The sequence below is a fragment of the Homo sapiens genome, chromosome 6, assembly GCF_000001405.40.
Source record: "Homo sapiens chromosome 6, GRCh38.p14 Primary Assembly".
NCBI classification, from domain to species: domain Eukaryota; kingdom Metazoa; phylum Chordata; class Mammalia; order Primates; family Hominidae; genus Homo; species Homo sapiens.
The window spans coordinates 129149995-129164248 of NC_000006.12; the positions used below are offsets into that span (position 1 = coordinate 129149995).

The following is a 14254-nucleotide window of genomic DNA, read 5'->3' on the forward strand; positions in this document are numbered from 1 at the left end:
TATTGAGGGATGGCTGTATTTTCTTTTTAGTTTGAGATTCTGCATATATGCTATTAGCTCTCCTTATTTTCTGCACTCACTTCATTTGCTTTTGGATTTGTGTCTGCCTGTTTATAAAGATATTATGGATTAGAAATCTCCCATTATTACAAAAGCATATCTGGAGGCATGAGCCACCATTGGATCATCACTCACCATGCATGGTAGGGGACCATTGGAAGCCCAGCCTTTTGTTTCCTTCAACTACTTCCAGCCATGTTCTGGCTAATCCCTTAGTTCTCCACAGCTTCTCCATAGAGAACAGACATTTGTTCTTAATAGTGACTTTAAATGTAATGCCACCCAGGGATGTTTGCTCTCGAGCTCCTTTAAATTTTAATTAAATTTCTCTTCTGTTTGTAGAATATCAGTAATCATAAGTGGGAGCAGCACTTGAAGGTAGGGGTCTTCCTGTTGCCACTGACATGCCTTCACACAGTGATAATTGTGTAATGTTAAGTGGCTCTGCAAAATCCTTTACCACTCTTTACTTGTGTTTCTACGTTTAAATACAAAACAAAAACAATCGAGCAACTTGTTAGCAATAGAGGTAGACTAAGCAAGGCAAGACATTTCAAACTGCTACTGTACACATTTTTAAAATAGTGGAATTGTGAAACACTTTTTTTCTTTCCCTGTAGGGAAGAGGGGAGGTCGTATTTCCAAACTGAAAAACAAACATTTTAAAAACGCAGAAATTCAAGATGGGGATCTTAGCCATAAAGCCATACATAAAAATCACACTTTCAGCAATGAGTACATTCCTGAAAGCTTAAGTAAAAATTTTCTTTTCCAAGTTGAATCATATTCCAATCACCTTAATATTTAGAAAAATCCTTCCATGACATGACAAATCCCTCCATAAAATGAATAATCACATTCTAATTCATTTGAGTTTAATTTGGATTTTCATCAATCTAGCTTACATAAGGCAAGATAATATCTCTAAAAAGCATAGAATATTCATTCAGTTGCTGAGCCTTTACTAAACAACAGTTTCATATGATATATCTTGGACATTCTGTGAAATAGTAAGTTGCTGATGATAGAGAAAAAACATGGCTTTGTGATCAGTTACTAGCCATATTCTTGAAGGTTACAGACAGAGCGGGGTAGGCTGCAGCCTACAGACAGAAAGTGGGGCTGTAGGTGTAGGGTCCTGGCTGCACAGAGTGTGTGATGGACCGTTTATTTGGCATCAGGGTTTTACATATAGTAGCTCATAGTTCTAAACACTCTTGACAACACGAATTCTAAATAGTGTGAGAATAAGTCTATGTTACTTTATGTTTTCCTCTGCTTATACTGGCAGCAGAAGTTTTGACTGTTTTTTGAAATACACTATTACAACAAAGCTTTTAAGAATTCATAGCCAGGTCCAGTGGCATGCTCCTATAATCCCAGCTACTGGAAAGAAGCTATGGTGGGAGGATCTCTTGAGCCCAGGAGTTTGAGGCCAGCCTGGGCCACATAGTGAGACCCTGTCTGTATCACTCCGTTTTCACACTGCTGTAAAGATACTACCCGAGACTGGGTAATTTATAAAGGAAAGAGGTTTAGTTGACTCACCCTTCTGCATGGCTAGGAGGCCTCAGGAAACTTATGATCAAAGGGGAAGAGGGAGCAGGCACATCTTACATGGTACAGGAGAGAGAGGAGAAAGTGAATGGGGAAGAGCCCCTTATAAAACCATCAGATCTTGTACGAACTCACTCACTATCATGAGGACAGCATGGGGGAGCTGCCCCCTTGATCCAGTCTCCTCCCTCCCTCCATACGTGGAGATTACAATTTCAAATGAGATTTGGGTGGGGACACAGAGCCAAACCATATCACTGTCTTTCTGAAGAAAAAAAAGGAATTCTTGTATGTTGCCCTAAAGATATAAAACTGCTTACAATGCCTAGTGATTTGTATTGATTACTATGTGTTCCCTAAAGTTTGAAACTCTCCATTAACATAGCAAAACTACTATATTCTAAATCAAATGTCAGCAGGTTGGGAAAGGTATTTACAACAAACATGACAAGGGGATAATAACCTTTCTATATTAAGAGATCTTACATATCAATAAGAAAAAAGTTAACCTGTTAGAAAGATCAAAACAGGTATTCCTCAGAAATGACATATAACTTTGTAAAAAGATAATGACACTCATAATGAAGGAAGTATCAATTAAAACAATGACATATTATTTTTCACCTATCAAAGTGTTTATTCTTCTACTCAACAAATATTTGAATGCTTATTATGTCCAGGAATTGTATTCAAGGGTTGATAACACACAAGGTTGGTGGCTATGGAGAAAGTGTTTTATCATATCTACTAGAGGAAAAGTCATTTGTCATAGCGTTCCTGGAGGGGAATTTTTTAAGCGATTAAAATTTAAATTTTACATATCCTTTGACTAGAAATTATGCTTCCAGGAATTTACCCTATAGATATATTCATATAGATGTACAGGCATATTATCATGATCCTCGTCATTATTATACAAGTGCTACCACTACTGCTACTAACATTTATTGAGCTCAGTATTTAGTATGTTTCAGGCATTCTGCTAAGCATTCTCAAAACATGTATGAGACAAGTACTAAAGTGATGCTAGGACTCGAGTTTTTGCCTCAAAGTCACTCAACTGGCAAATAGGAAACTTTTCTAACATTAGAGCGCCTCCCTCCACCCGGCATCCTTGTCCTCCCAGTATGTGTGTGGTGTTATTTGTAAAGGGAGAAACATGGAAACTGTGTAACTGTTCATTAATAGGGACCTGATAAATACCTTCATTCAAGTAGTACCCTGTGTACCCTTAGGGGATACACATGCTAATATGGAAAGGGCTCCATGATTTACTGTTAGTAAAAAGAACCGGTTCTAAACAGTATACAAATGCCCCTTCCCTTTTGTAGAATAAATAAAAAGATTGAGCTGTATGCATACAAGCACACCTACACACACACACACACACGTGGAAATAAATGTAAGTACTCCTAAGAAACTCAACATGTCAGGTAGGAAGGAGACTGCATCGATATATTTCCCTGGTTCTATCCTAATATAAATTCTTCATATTTAGAAGAGTCTTACCCAATCCTTTCTGGAGAAAGTGATTTTTCACTTCTTGGAATTCTTCTAATGTAACATGAAAAAGACAAGGAGGAAGAAAAGAAGAAAAATCAATTGCTAACTTCTTTATAAGACATTACGCTAATGATTTCACATGCATTATCTCACTTGTGCTTTTAAATATCCCAATCTAGTAATTACTATTGACCACTCCATGTATTATATGGAAACTGAGCCTTCGTGAAATTAAGAAGTTTCCAATGTCATATGACTGCTAAGTAGAGGAGAGCACACCCACATCCAAGACAGTTGGTTGCAAAATAGCATGATCTTAGCCACCAGTAAACTAGCTCTCGGTTTGTCTTAATTCCTTGGCACCTGCCATGTATCTTATTTCATTCACCGGGTAGGATGTGAAGAGATTCTGGCAGTCTTTAGCAGTGCAGACTCTGGAGTCTGGCTTCAGAGGTTGGTTTCCAATACTGATTAGAATATCTTTTACACGTTATTTCACTTCTCTGGACTCAGGTTTCTAGTATACAAAAATAGGTTAATAATAATAATACCTAATTCCTAAAAGCATTTTTGAGGATTAAAATCAGTAGCAACAAATATGGAGCATTTAGAACAGTGTCTGGCATTGAGAAAACCTATGTTTTAGTTGTTATTAGTATTAAAAGAAAGGAATTATATTATACATACTTTTCTTTACCCACAGGCTCTAATACAGAAATTTCCATATGGTAGTAATTCATTACAGATTACCTAGCTGTTAATCATTCAGTGCCATCATTGAATAATTTATTATTTGTTATAATAGGAAATTGTAAGTTGAACCATATAAAATTGCACGTTAGTCAAAACCAAATATTGGCAATTGCATATGATTGAGCTTAATTTATATGTTTTAATCATTTCAAATTCTATTAAAATGTGTGAATTTATTAATACCTCCAATACATCCAGATACTTTCTGGATATGTTTGTGTGTGTGTACGCTAAATGTAATTTCCCGTATGGTATAAAAGTCTAGGCCGGGGGCAGTGGCTCACGCCTGTAATTCCAGCACTTTGAGAGGCTGAGGCGGGTGGATCATGGGTCAAGAGTTCAAGACCAGCCTGGCCAACATGGTGAAGCCCCATCTCTACTAAAAATACAGAAATTAGCTGGGTGTGGTGGTGCATGCCTGTTGTCCCCAGCTACTCGGGAGGCTGAGACAGGAGGATTGCTTGAACCTGGAAGGCAGAGGTTGCAGTGAGCCGAGATCGTGCCACTCTGCACTCCAGCCTGGGCGACAGAGTGAGACTCTGTCTCAAAAAAAAAATCTATTATGTATAACAGAAATGATTTTTAAATGTATCTGAAATCAAATTGATGTTTATTAATTTATTTTTCCTTAATGCAGCATGCAATTGTCATGGAAAAGCTGAAGAATGCTATTATGATGAAAATGTTGCCAGAAGAAATCTGAGTTTGAATATACGTGGAAAGTACATTGGAGGGGGTGTCTGCATTAATTGTACCCAAAACACTGCTGGTATAAACTGCGAGACATGTACTGATGGCTTCTTCAGACCCAAAGGGGTAAAGTATGCTTTTTCTTTCATAAAGAGTTATTTTTTTGCTTTTTCATACAAAAATGTTTTATACAAAAAAATAATAATTTTGAAAGCTTCTGTAAACAGTTGAACTTCAAATTAAAAGGTAAGTAGGAACATTTCGTAGTTGAAACTGACCTAAATCTTTGAGGATGTAAGATAAAACTTTTCCATCACTCCAGAAAGTTTTATCATGGCTCCTTCCAGTCAAGGAGTGGACCCCTAGGCAAACTCTGTTCTGATTTTTAGAACGTAAATTAGTTGTGCCTCTTAGAGAATTTCATAAAAATGAAATCATACAGTACATACTAGTGAGTCTTTTTTCACTCGACATAATATGTTAAGATTTATCCATGTTGTTTGTGCATCAGTAGTTCTTTTTCTTTTGAAAGAAATTGCTGAGTAGTATTTCTCTGCACGAACATATCAAAATTTTAAATCCATTCTCCTGTTGATAGAAATTAGGATCATTTCCAGTTTTAGCTTAGCTCCTACAAATAATTTTATACTAGTTATTTTATAGTCATATTTTTATTTACCTTGTGTAAATACTTAGGAATAGAAAGCTTTTTTCATAGGATAGGTAGATGCTTAACTTTATAAGAAACCGTCAACATTTTGCCAAATTAGTAATAATGTATAAAATGTTCACCAAAAAGTTATATGAGTTTCAGTCATTCTATATCATCTCTAATATTTGATGTTGACTATCTTTTTGGATTTTAGTCATCTAGTGGGTGTGAAATGGCATCTGATTATGGATTTAATTTTAATCGTAAGGGCTTATTGACCATTCCTGTATCTTCTCTTATGAAGTAGATGTTCAAAGTCTAAATATTTTTTTATCCTAAAAACCAAAATTTTAACTTATAGAGCTATTACCCATATCAAGTAAATGTTTGTGTGTGGTGTGAATAAGTAACCAGATTTATATGGTTAACCTGAAGTTCTAGCACCATTTGTTGAAAAATCAATTGATCATATTACATGGATCAATTTCTAGAACCTCAGTTATCTATTTTTCCTAGCATCTATTTTTCCCTCTGCGTGCTAATACCATACTATCTTCATTGCTTTAGTAAGTCTAGAATTTAGGTAATATAATGTACCAACTTTATTTTTTATTTTCAAGATTGTCTATAGTAGGGGCTTTTTTGTGTGTGTTTCTATACAATTTTAGAATCAACTTGTCAATTACAGAAAATATTAGGATTATTGCTTAGACTCTATATACAAATATGGAAAATGGAGCTTGAGGAGATGTTGGTCAAAGAATATAAAATTTCAGTTAGATAGTAGGAATACATTGAAGATATTTATTGTACAGCATGGTGACTGTAGTTAATAACAATGTATTTACTCTTAAAAAATGCTGAGAGTAGATTTTAAGTGTTCTCACCAAAAAAATTGATAATTATGTTAGGTAATATGTTAATTAGCTTGATATAACCATTTCACAATTTGTATATATATAATATATATATACAATGATATTCAAAATATCATGTCACACATGATAAATATATACAATTTTGTCAAAAAGGAAATTAAACTTTAAAAGCAAACAAGTATTGAGGAAAATAACATCATAATAATATTGAATCATTTAACCAATGAACATAGCATATCTCTCCATTTATTTCTATCTTCTTTATTCATGTCAGTGTTCCAGTACAGAGATCTTGCATGTCTTTTGTTAAATTAATCTTTAGAATTTTGCTTTGCATGACTGTAAAAAAAATTTTTAAATAATTTTCCAATTATTTAATGTAATTGTTAAAGAATTTTGAATATTGACTTTATGCCCTATAGCCATCCTTAATTTCTTTTTTTTTTTTTAAATAACTTCCCTTTTAAAAGTTACTGAGAATAAAGAATACAGAACATGGTTATAGGCACTTACATTGCTATCAAATGCAGGAATTCACTTCAATAAGAAGTGCTTTCTCTGTAAGCATGGTTCATGGCAATAGAAGCTCCAACTTAGGAGAGGATGTTTTCCGTGACAAAAATAATAACAACAAAAAAAATGGTGGTTGAAGGAAAACAGTCCAAATTTACAGATGCTTTAAACTTCTTTTGGCCTTGGCATCAGCTTTCATGTTAAAAAATAAAGCTGGTGGGGAAGCTATCTCACTTGCAAAGTAAATGGCTTGTATGAGATTGGCGAATCTTGGTCAGATATTGCATTTTTAAAGCACAAAACCACCGGCCACCAATATCTTCCTGTGCATGCATATAAATTATTTTCTTCTAATTCAAATGGCAACAGAGGAATCCTGGCGTGCATGTGCATGGAGACACACACACATCACTAAGGAGACAGGACAAACTATCATAAACTAAGCAGTATCCCAAACACATCATCATCTATAGGCTGTTTTACAAAGGTGGAATACAAACGAACTGAATGTCTCAGGTAAAAGGCAAAGTCTATTTCTCCAACTCTGCTGCACTCATTTATCTTCTTAAGGCTTTCACAGAAAGCACCGTTTTATGAACAGGCAATTCAGTACCCAGAGCTTGACTGGAGACACTAATCAGGATTGAAGTCTTGATGCAGTTCATAAAAACCCATTTAAAAAAAGGCATCAAAAACCACATTTAAAATAAAGTTGTCCATATATAAAGAATGAAGTGTTTAGAAGTTCCCAGCTTGTATCCTAATAAGAGTACTGAAAGGTTTAATATTAGCAGCCTGTGAACACGTAGTGAAGAAAGAGTCTGAGAACCAAGTTAACATCCTTATTCCACTCTAATTCCACCCATGCCATGGGTAAAAACAGTTCTTGCAGTCTAGAGTTTCTCCTCCGATGGTTTAACCGTCAGATTTTTACATCTTGGGATTCAACCATCTTGGCAAGCGTCTTCTTAATTCTCAACGCTGTGAGTCTGGGGGCTGGATTGTGGGCCCAGCATTCTGACATTAGCTTCAAAACTGCTCGTAGACATTCATCACTGTTCCACCGATTAGACACAATTGGCCGCAAACGTTTGACACACACAACCTCACGCATATCTTCGTATGACGGATCACTCGGTACCATGTTATAATATGGCAATTGGTAGTCTTCCACGATCCCTCCTGTGATACAACGACGAGCCATCTCCCAAATGATTAGGCCGAAGCTGTAGATATCAGCCATGATGTAGGGCTGGAAGTGGTTTTTGTTCAGGCTTTCGTCCAGCACTTCTGGAGCCAGGTAGCGTTTGGTGCCCACCCTGGTATTCAAGGGCACATCAACTTCATTTGTGTCACTGTTGAATTTAACAGCAAGGCCCAGGTCAGCAATGCAGCAACTCCCATTTTTCTTGATGAGGATGTTTTTGCTCTTTAGGTCTCGATGAGCAATTGCGGGCTTTCCTTGGGTGCCATACGTTTCTGTGTGCAGGTGGCACAGACCACAGGCAGCTGAATAAGCCAATTTAAGCAGGGCTCTGGTGTCCAGCGTAGCACATTTCAGGAAGTCATAGAGAGATCCATTTTCATGGTAATCAGTAATCAAATAGAGCTGAGTCCAGGAACCTGTACCTTTAATATCTGCCGCTATGAAACCAAGTATGTTTTCATGGCGCATTAGCACAGTTTGGTAGATTTCTGTTTCTCGAAACCAGCTGGCTTCTTCAGTGGTAAAGAATACTTTCACCGCCACTCTTTCGCCATGCCATTTGCCCATCCGTACTTCTCCATATCGGCCTTTACCAACTTGCCGGACCATCTGAATCTGTTTGGCAATAGTTCGCTGAACCAATAAAGGTAGTCCAGACCCACTACCAGAACTTTGTGACTGGTCAATAAGGTCTTTTAGTGATTTTCCAACTGGAATAAATGCTTCATCCTGTTCCAAATCACGATTGTAACGACGTCTGCTTGAGATGCTCTTGCAATAATGTTTGTAACAAAAGCAGCTGGAGAAGATGATCATAGCAATTATGCAGACAGCCATAGAAATGAGCAAAACCAGCCATCGAATGCTGCCATCAAAAAACGGACCTATGACAACAGGGGGCATGTGGGTTGCAAATACTGGTTACATAAATTGGTCCGACAACATTCTATTGTCCGGCGTAGCTGGGCTTTTGGAGAATCTTTGCACTGAAAATCAGATCCTTCATATTTCATACACCCTGAAGCTAATGTGGTTTCTCCCTGGTCATCTTCTTCTATGATGGCAAAGCAACGTCCATTAGTTATGCATGTGTTATTAATAGCATCATCTGGGCAGTGCCCTCAGCAATAGCACTTGAAAAAAGGCAAGGTATCCTCTGGTGCTAAGGTTACTCCATTTTCTGACTTTTTCTGGTCGGAGTCTGATTTCATCCCAGTGCCGTGGAGCATACTATCCAGATTCTGTCCTTGAACACGAGAAATGATGAACAAATAGGCTCCCAATAATCTGATGTAAATGTATAGCTGAGTCATTGTTCAATTGTAATGTTTCCTGTGTACTGTCACCTTTAGTAATTGGTCTTGCTACTTCACCAATTTAAATGACTGTCATTCAGTGAGATTTTCTTGTAAAAGATCGCAAGCACTTGACAATGACTTCAACTCCCACTGCTTTCTTACGACTCCTCCAAGATGTGGCTAGATAAAACTGTACTTCCGATTTTCTCCAAACAGCTTTGACCTATGCTTCCATCTCATGAATTCCAAGACAGTATTAAACTGATGCATATTTTCATAAGTCGCTCCCGGCGTCTCTTCCCGGGCTCCTTGCCAGCGTGCCGAGGCGCAGGCAGGGTGATGGAGGCGCCCCGGCCGGGAGGATCTGCCGGGGAGAGCGGCTTTCCTCATCGATTCGGGAGCACCCACCATGCTTAATTTCTTTATTAATTCTAGTAGTTTTAAACTACATGCTTTAGAAACGTACACATAAACAATCATTTTACCTGCAAGTACATTCAGGCTTACTTCTTCCTTTGCAATCTTTATGCCAAGGTTAACTAAAAATGGCGAGAGCTGACATCTTCACTTTGTTCTGAATTTTAAAGGGAAACCTAATATTTCACTATGGAGTATGATGTGAACTGCATATTTTTTTATGGACACCCTTTATCAGATTCAGTAGGTCCCCTACTATTCCTAAGTTGCAGAGAGTTTTTATAACAAAATGGTTTTGCATTTTGTCATATGCTTTTCGAAACCTACTGAAATGAACATAAGGATTTTCTCCTTTATTCTGTTAACGGGGACAATTTATGCAAATTGAATTTTAAAATATGAAGGCAGCTTTGCATTTGTGAATTAATCTCCATTTGGTTATGATATATTATCATTTTTATATATTGGATGATTCAATTGACTAATGTTTGGTTAAGAATTTTGACATCCTCTCATAAAATATATTGGTCTATAATTTTATTTTCTTATAATGTTTTTGTCAGGTTTTTTATTGGGGTATACTGGCATCAACAAATGATCGGGGAAATGCACTTCCTCTTCTGTTTTCTAAAGTAACTTCAGATTAAAATTAATTCTCTTTAAAATGCTTGATAAAATTTCCTAGTGAAACTATCTGAGTCTCTAGTTTTCTTCGTGCATTGTATTGGCTATTTTTTATTAGACATAGGGTTAGATAGGTTTTGTATTAATATCTTTAGGGAGGGTCAATTTTTGATATATTGTATTTTTCAAGTAATTTGTTCAATTCATCTAAATTGTCAAATCATTGGCAATTGGCAGTTTTAAAAATTGCCTTATTATCTTCTTGAAGTCTATAGCATCTATATAGATATCCCCTGTGTAATTTTTAAAATGATTAAGTTGTGCTTTTCTCCTTTTATTGATCACTTATGTTAGGGGTTTATCAATTTTCCTAATCTTTTCCAAAAAAACTTCTGCCTTTTTATTTTTTGTGTTTTTATTGATTCTGTTCTATTTATTATATTATTCATTTGACCTGTTTTGGTTTTAAATTTCATTTTCTTTTTCTACCTATCAATTTGGAAAGTTAAATTATGATTTTACACCTTTCTTCTTTTATCATATAAACTTTTAAATATAGATTTCCTTCTAGCAGTTCTTTAGCTGTTTCTCATGAATTCAGGAATGCTTTATGTTCATTGTCATTTATTTAACATAACTTCTAATTTCTCTTGTGATTTATTTTTTGTTAATTTCCAAATATTTGAGCTTTATTAAATATTATATTTTTGATTTCTACACTGGATGTTTATGATCTGAGAACATACTCTCTAAGATGTCAAACTTTAGAAGTTTATTGAAATTTAACTTATGGCTCAGTGCATGGTCTCTCTTGGCAAACAAATAAATGTGGATTTTTCCAATCTGCGATTATGGATTCCTACCTTTCTTTCATTTTTTTCAGTATTTCTTCCTGTTCTTTGAAGCACTGTTATGAGGCACATACATATTTAGAATATTTTGAATCTTTAGATTTTTATATCTTATAAATTAATATTTTGATAACTGTGAAGATCTCCACTTAATCTCAGATATCACTTTTTGTCCTAAAGTCTACTTTATTTTTTATTAACATTGCCACAGCAGTTTTCATATGCTTACTCTGTATGGTATGTTTTTTCTGATTTTGTTTAACTTTCAACCTATCTTTATTTTCATTTAAAAGATTTCTTATAAAGAGTAAAATAGATGGATTTTTTATCCTGACAATTACTGTGTGTTTAGTCCCTAAATTTAATATAGTTAATAATATGATTGGGTTTTGCTATTTGTTTCCCATTTGTGTCACAAAATTTTTGTTCCCATTCTTCCTTTTCTGTCTACTTTTATGTTAAACAAATATTTTTCAGTATTCCATTTTATTTCCTTTATTATCTTTTTAGCAGTACCTCTTTGTATAATTTTCCATTCCAACTTTTATTTTAGGTTCAGGTAGTACATGGGTAAATTATGTGTCATGGGATTTGGTGTACAGATTATTTTGTCACCCAGATAATAAGCATAATAAAATTTTCAATCTTCACCCCCCTCCCACCCTTTTCAAGCAGGCCCTGGTGTCTATTGTTGCCTTCTTTGTGTCCATGTGTACTCAATGTTTAGCTCCACTCATAAGAGAGAACATGCAGTATCTGGTTTTCTATTCTTGCATTAATTCACTTAGGATAATGGCCTTCTGCTCCATCCATGTTGCTTCAAAGGACATGATTTTATTCTTTTTTATGGCTGTGTAGTATTCCATGGTGTATATGTACTACATTTTCTTTATTCAGTCCACCAATGATGGTACCTAGGTTGATTCCATGTCTTTGTTATTGTGAATAGGGCTGCAATGAACATAGGCATGCATGTGGCTTTATGATAGAATGATATATATTCCTTTGGGCATATACGCAGTAATGGGATTGCTGAGTTGAGTGCTAGTTCTGTTTTAAGTTTTTTGAGAAATCTCCCAACGGCTTCCCACAGTGTCTGAACTAATTTACTTTCCCACCAGCAGTGTATAAGTGTTCCCTTTCTCTGCAACCTCACCAGTATCTGTTATTTTTGACTTTCAGTAATAGCCGTTCTGACCAGTGTGAGATGGTAGTATTTTAAGCTCATGATATAGTGATATAGTCCTATCTTTTGGACTATTGTTTTCATATATTGCACATAATTTGTAAGCCAGCAATACAATGTTGTCATTTTTGTTTGAAGTCACAAAACTATGAAAACAATCTTAAAGAAATGAAAAGAAGGAAAAAAATTTACATTAACCATACCTTTCCCATTTTCCATACTCTGTGGTTCTAGCTTATATATATTGCCCTCCTGCTTGAAAAATTTCCTTTAACATTTTTTTTTTGGTAGTGCAGAGCTGCTGGTGACAAATTTTCTCAACTTCCCTTTATCTGAAAATGTCTTTAATCTACTTTCATTATTGAAGGATATTTTCCACATAGTTACAGAGGTGTGTGTTTTCTTCTTTGTTTAGCACTTTAAAGATGTGGCACCATTATTTTCTGGATTTCATTCATCCTTATGACAACATAGCCATTATTTGTTTCTTTGTTCTATATATATATATCTTTAATTCACTAGATGATTTCAAAAATTTTTTTATATCTGCCTTTTGACACTTATACCATGTATGATAAAACTTTGGCCCGTAGACCAAATCTGACTCATGGCCTATATTTGTATGATCTGTAAGCAAAGGATGTTTTTACATTTGTAAAGGTTTGTTAAAAGGAGAAGTAGAAGAAGGGGAGAATGAAGAGAACTAGGAGGGGGGGGAAGAAGAGGAGGAAGAATGAAGAGAGTCTTTATATGGCTTATTTTACTATCTGGCCCTTTACAGAAAAGTTTTCCAACCTCAGAGTTAAATAAACTATGATGTGTCTATGTTTGGCTTTCAAGCTTACCTTGCTTGATTCACAAAGCTTCTAGGAACTATAAATTGAGATTTTATTCCACATTTAGGAAATTTTAGGCTATTTTTTTTATTTTTACTTATTTTTTTTAGGCTTTTGTTTAAAACCTGTTTTTTGACCAGTGTTTTTCCTTCTCTTTCTAGGACTCCAGCTGCATGTGTGCTAGGGCGTTCATTGTATCTGAGGCAGTGCTAAGTAATTTTTTTTCTTTCTCCGTTCTTTAGATTGGATCATTTCCATTCATCTGTCATTATACTTTGGTCTACATATAATGTATCTTTAATTTACTAGCTGATTTTAAAATATTCTCATTAGGCCGGGCACAGTGGTTCACCCCAGGAATCCCAGTACTTTGGAAGGCCGAAGCAGGCAAGTCGCTTGCGGTCAGGAGTTTAAGACCAACCTGGCCAACATGGTGAAACCCTGTCTCTATTAAAAATACAAAATTTAGCCAGGCATGGTGGCAGGCACCTGTAATATCACCTACTCAGGAGACTGAGGCAGGAGAATAGCTTGAACCCAGGAAGTGAGGTTGCAGTGGGTCAAGCTTGCACCAGTGCACTTCAGCCTGGGCAAGAGAGCGAGACCCTATCTCAAAAATAAATACAAATAAATAAATAAATAAATTCTCATTATATTTACTTTTAACAATAGTATCATGTTTGAGAAAACTTTGGCCTGTAGACCAAATCCTGGCCTATGGCCAGATGACTACAAAAGTAGTCATTAGGTTGACTACTCTTCCTCCTATCATCTCTACCTGATGTTAAGCATATCCAGTGAATTATTAAATTGAGGTATTTTACTTTTCAGCTTTCTGGAGTTCTTATGTTCCTTACAGCTTCCATTTCTCTGAAATACTCCATACCTTCACTCATTATAAACATTGTTTCCTTTATATTCTCGGACATATTTACAGAACTTACGTTGACTTCCTTGTATGCTAATTTCAATATCTGGGTCACCTCAGGATCTGCTTTTATCAACTTCTTTTTTTAATAAGGTCAACATTTTCCTGTTTCTTTCCTGTATATCTAATACAGTAGTCCTCCTTTATTCACAGAGGATATGTTCCAGGAACCCCAGTTGATACCTGAAATCACAGATAGTACCAAACCTATATATACTATGTTTTTTCTATCTGATACCTGTGATGGGACTAAGTGACTAACAGGAGGGTAGTGTCTATACAGCATAGATATGCTGGACAA

General features: G+C 35.6%; 1 protein-coding gene and 1 pseudogene across 2 annotated transcripts in view; one reads left to right on the forward strand and one right to left on the reverse strand.

Moving 5' to 3' along the window:
* LAMA2 (laminin subunit alpha 2) overlaps positions 1 to 14254 on the forward strand; it is a 633429-nt gene that overhangs the window by 266857 nt on the left and 352318 nt on the right. For both annotated transcript variants that reach the window (NM_000426.4, NM_001079823.2), the window contains exon 8: positions 4511 to 4689. In NM_000426.4, the coding sequence (NP_000417.3) occupies positions 4511 to 4689 (179 nt within the window). The remainder of the gene's footprint in view (positions 1 to 4510; positions 4690 to 14254) is intronic.
* Positions 7332 to 9326, reverse strand: BMPR1AP1 (bone morphogenetic protein receptor type 1A pseudogene 1; annotated as a pseudogene).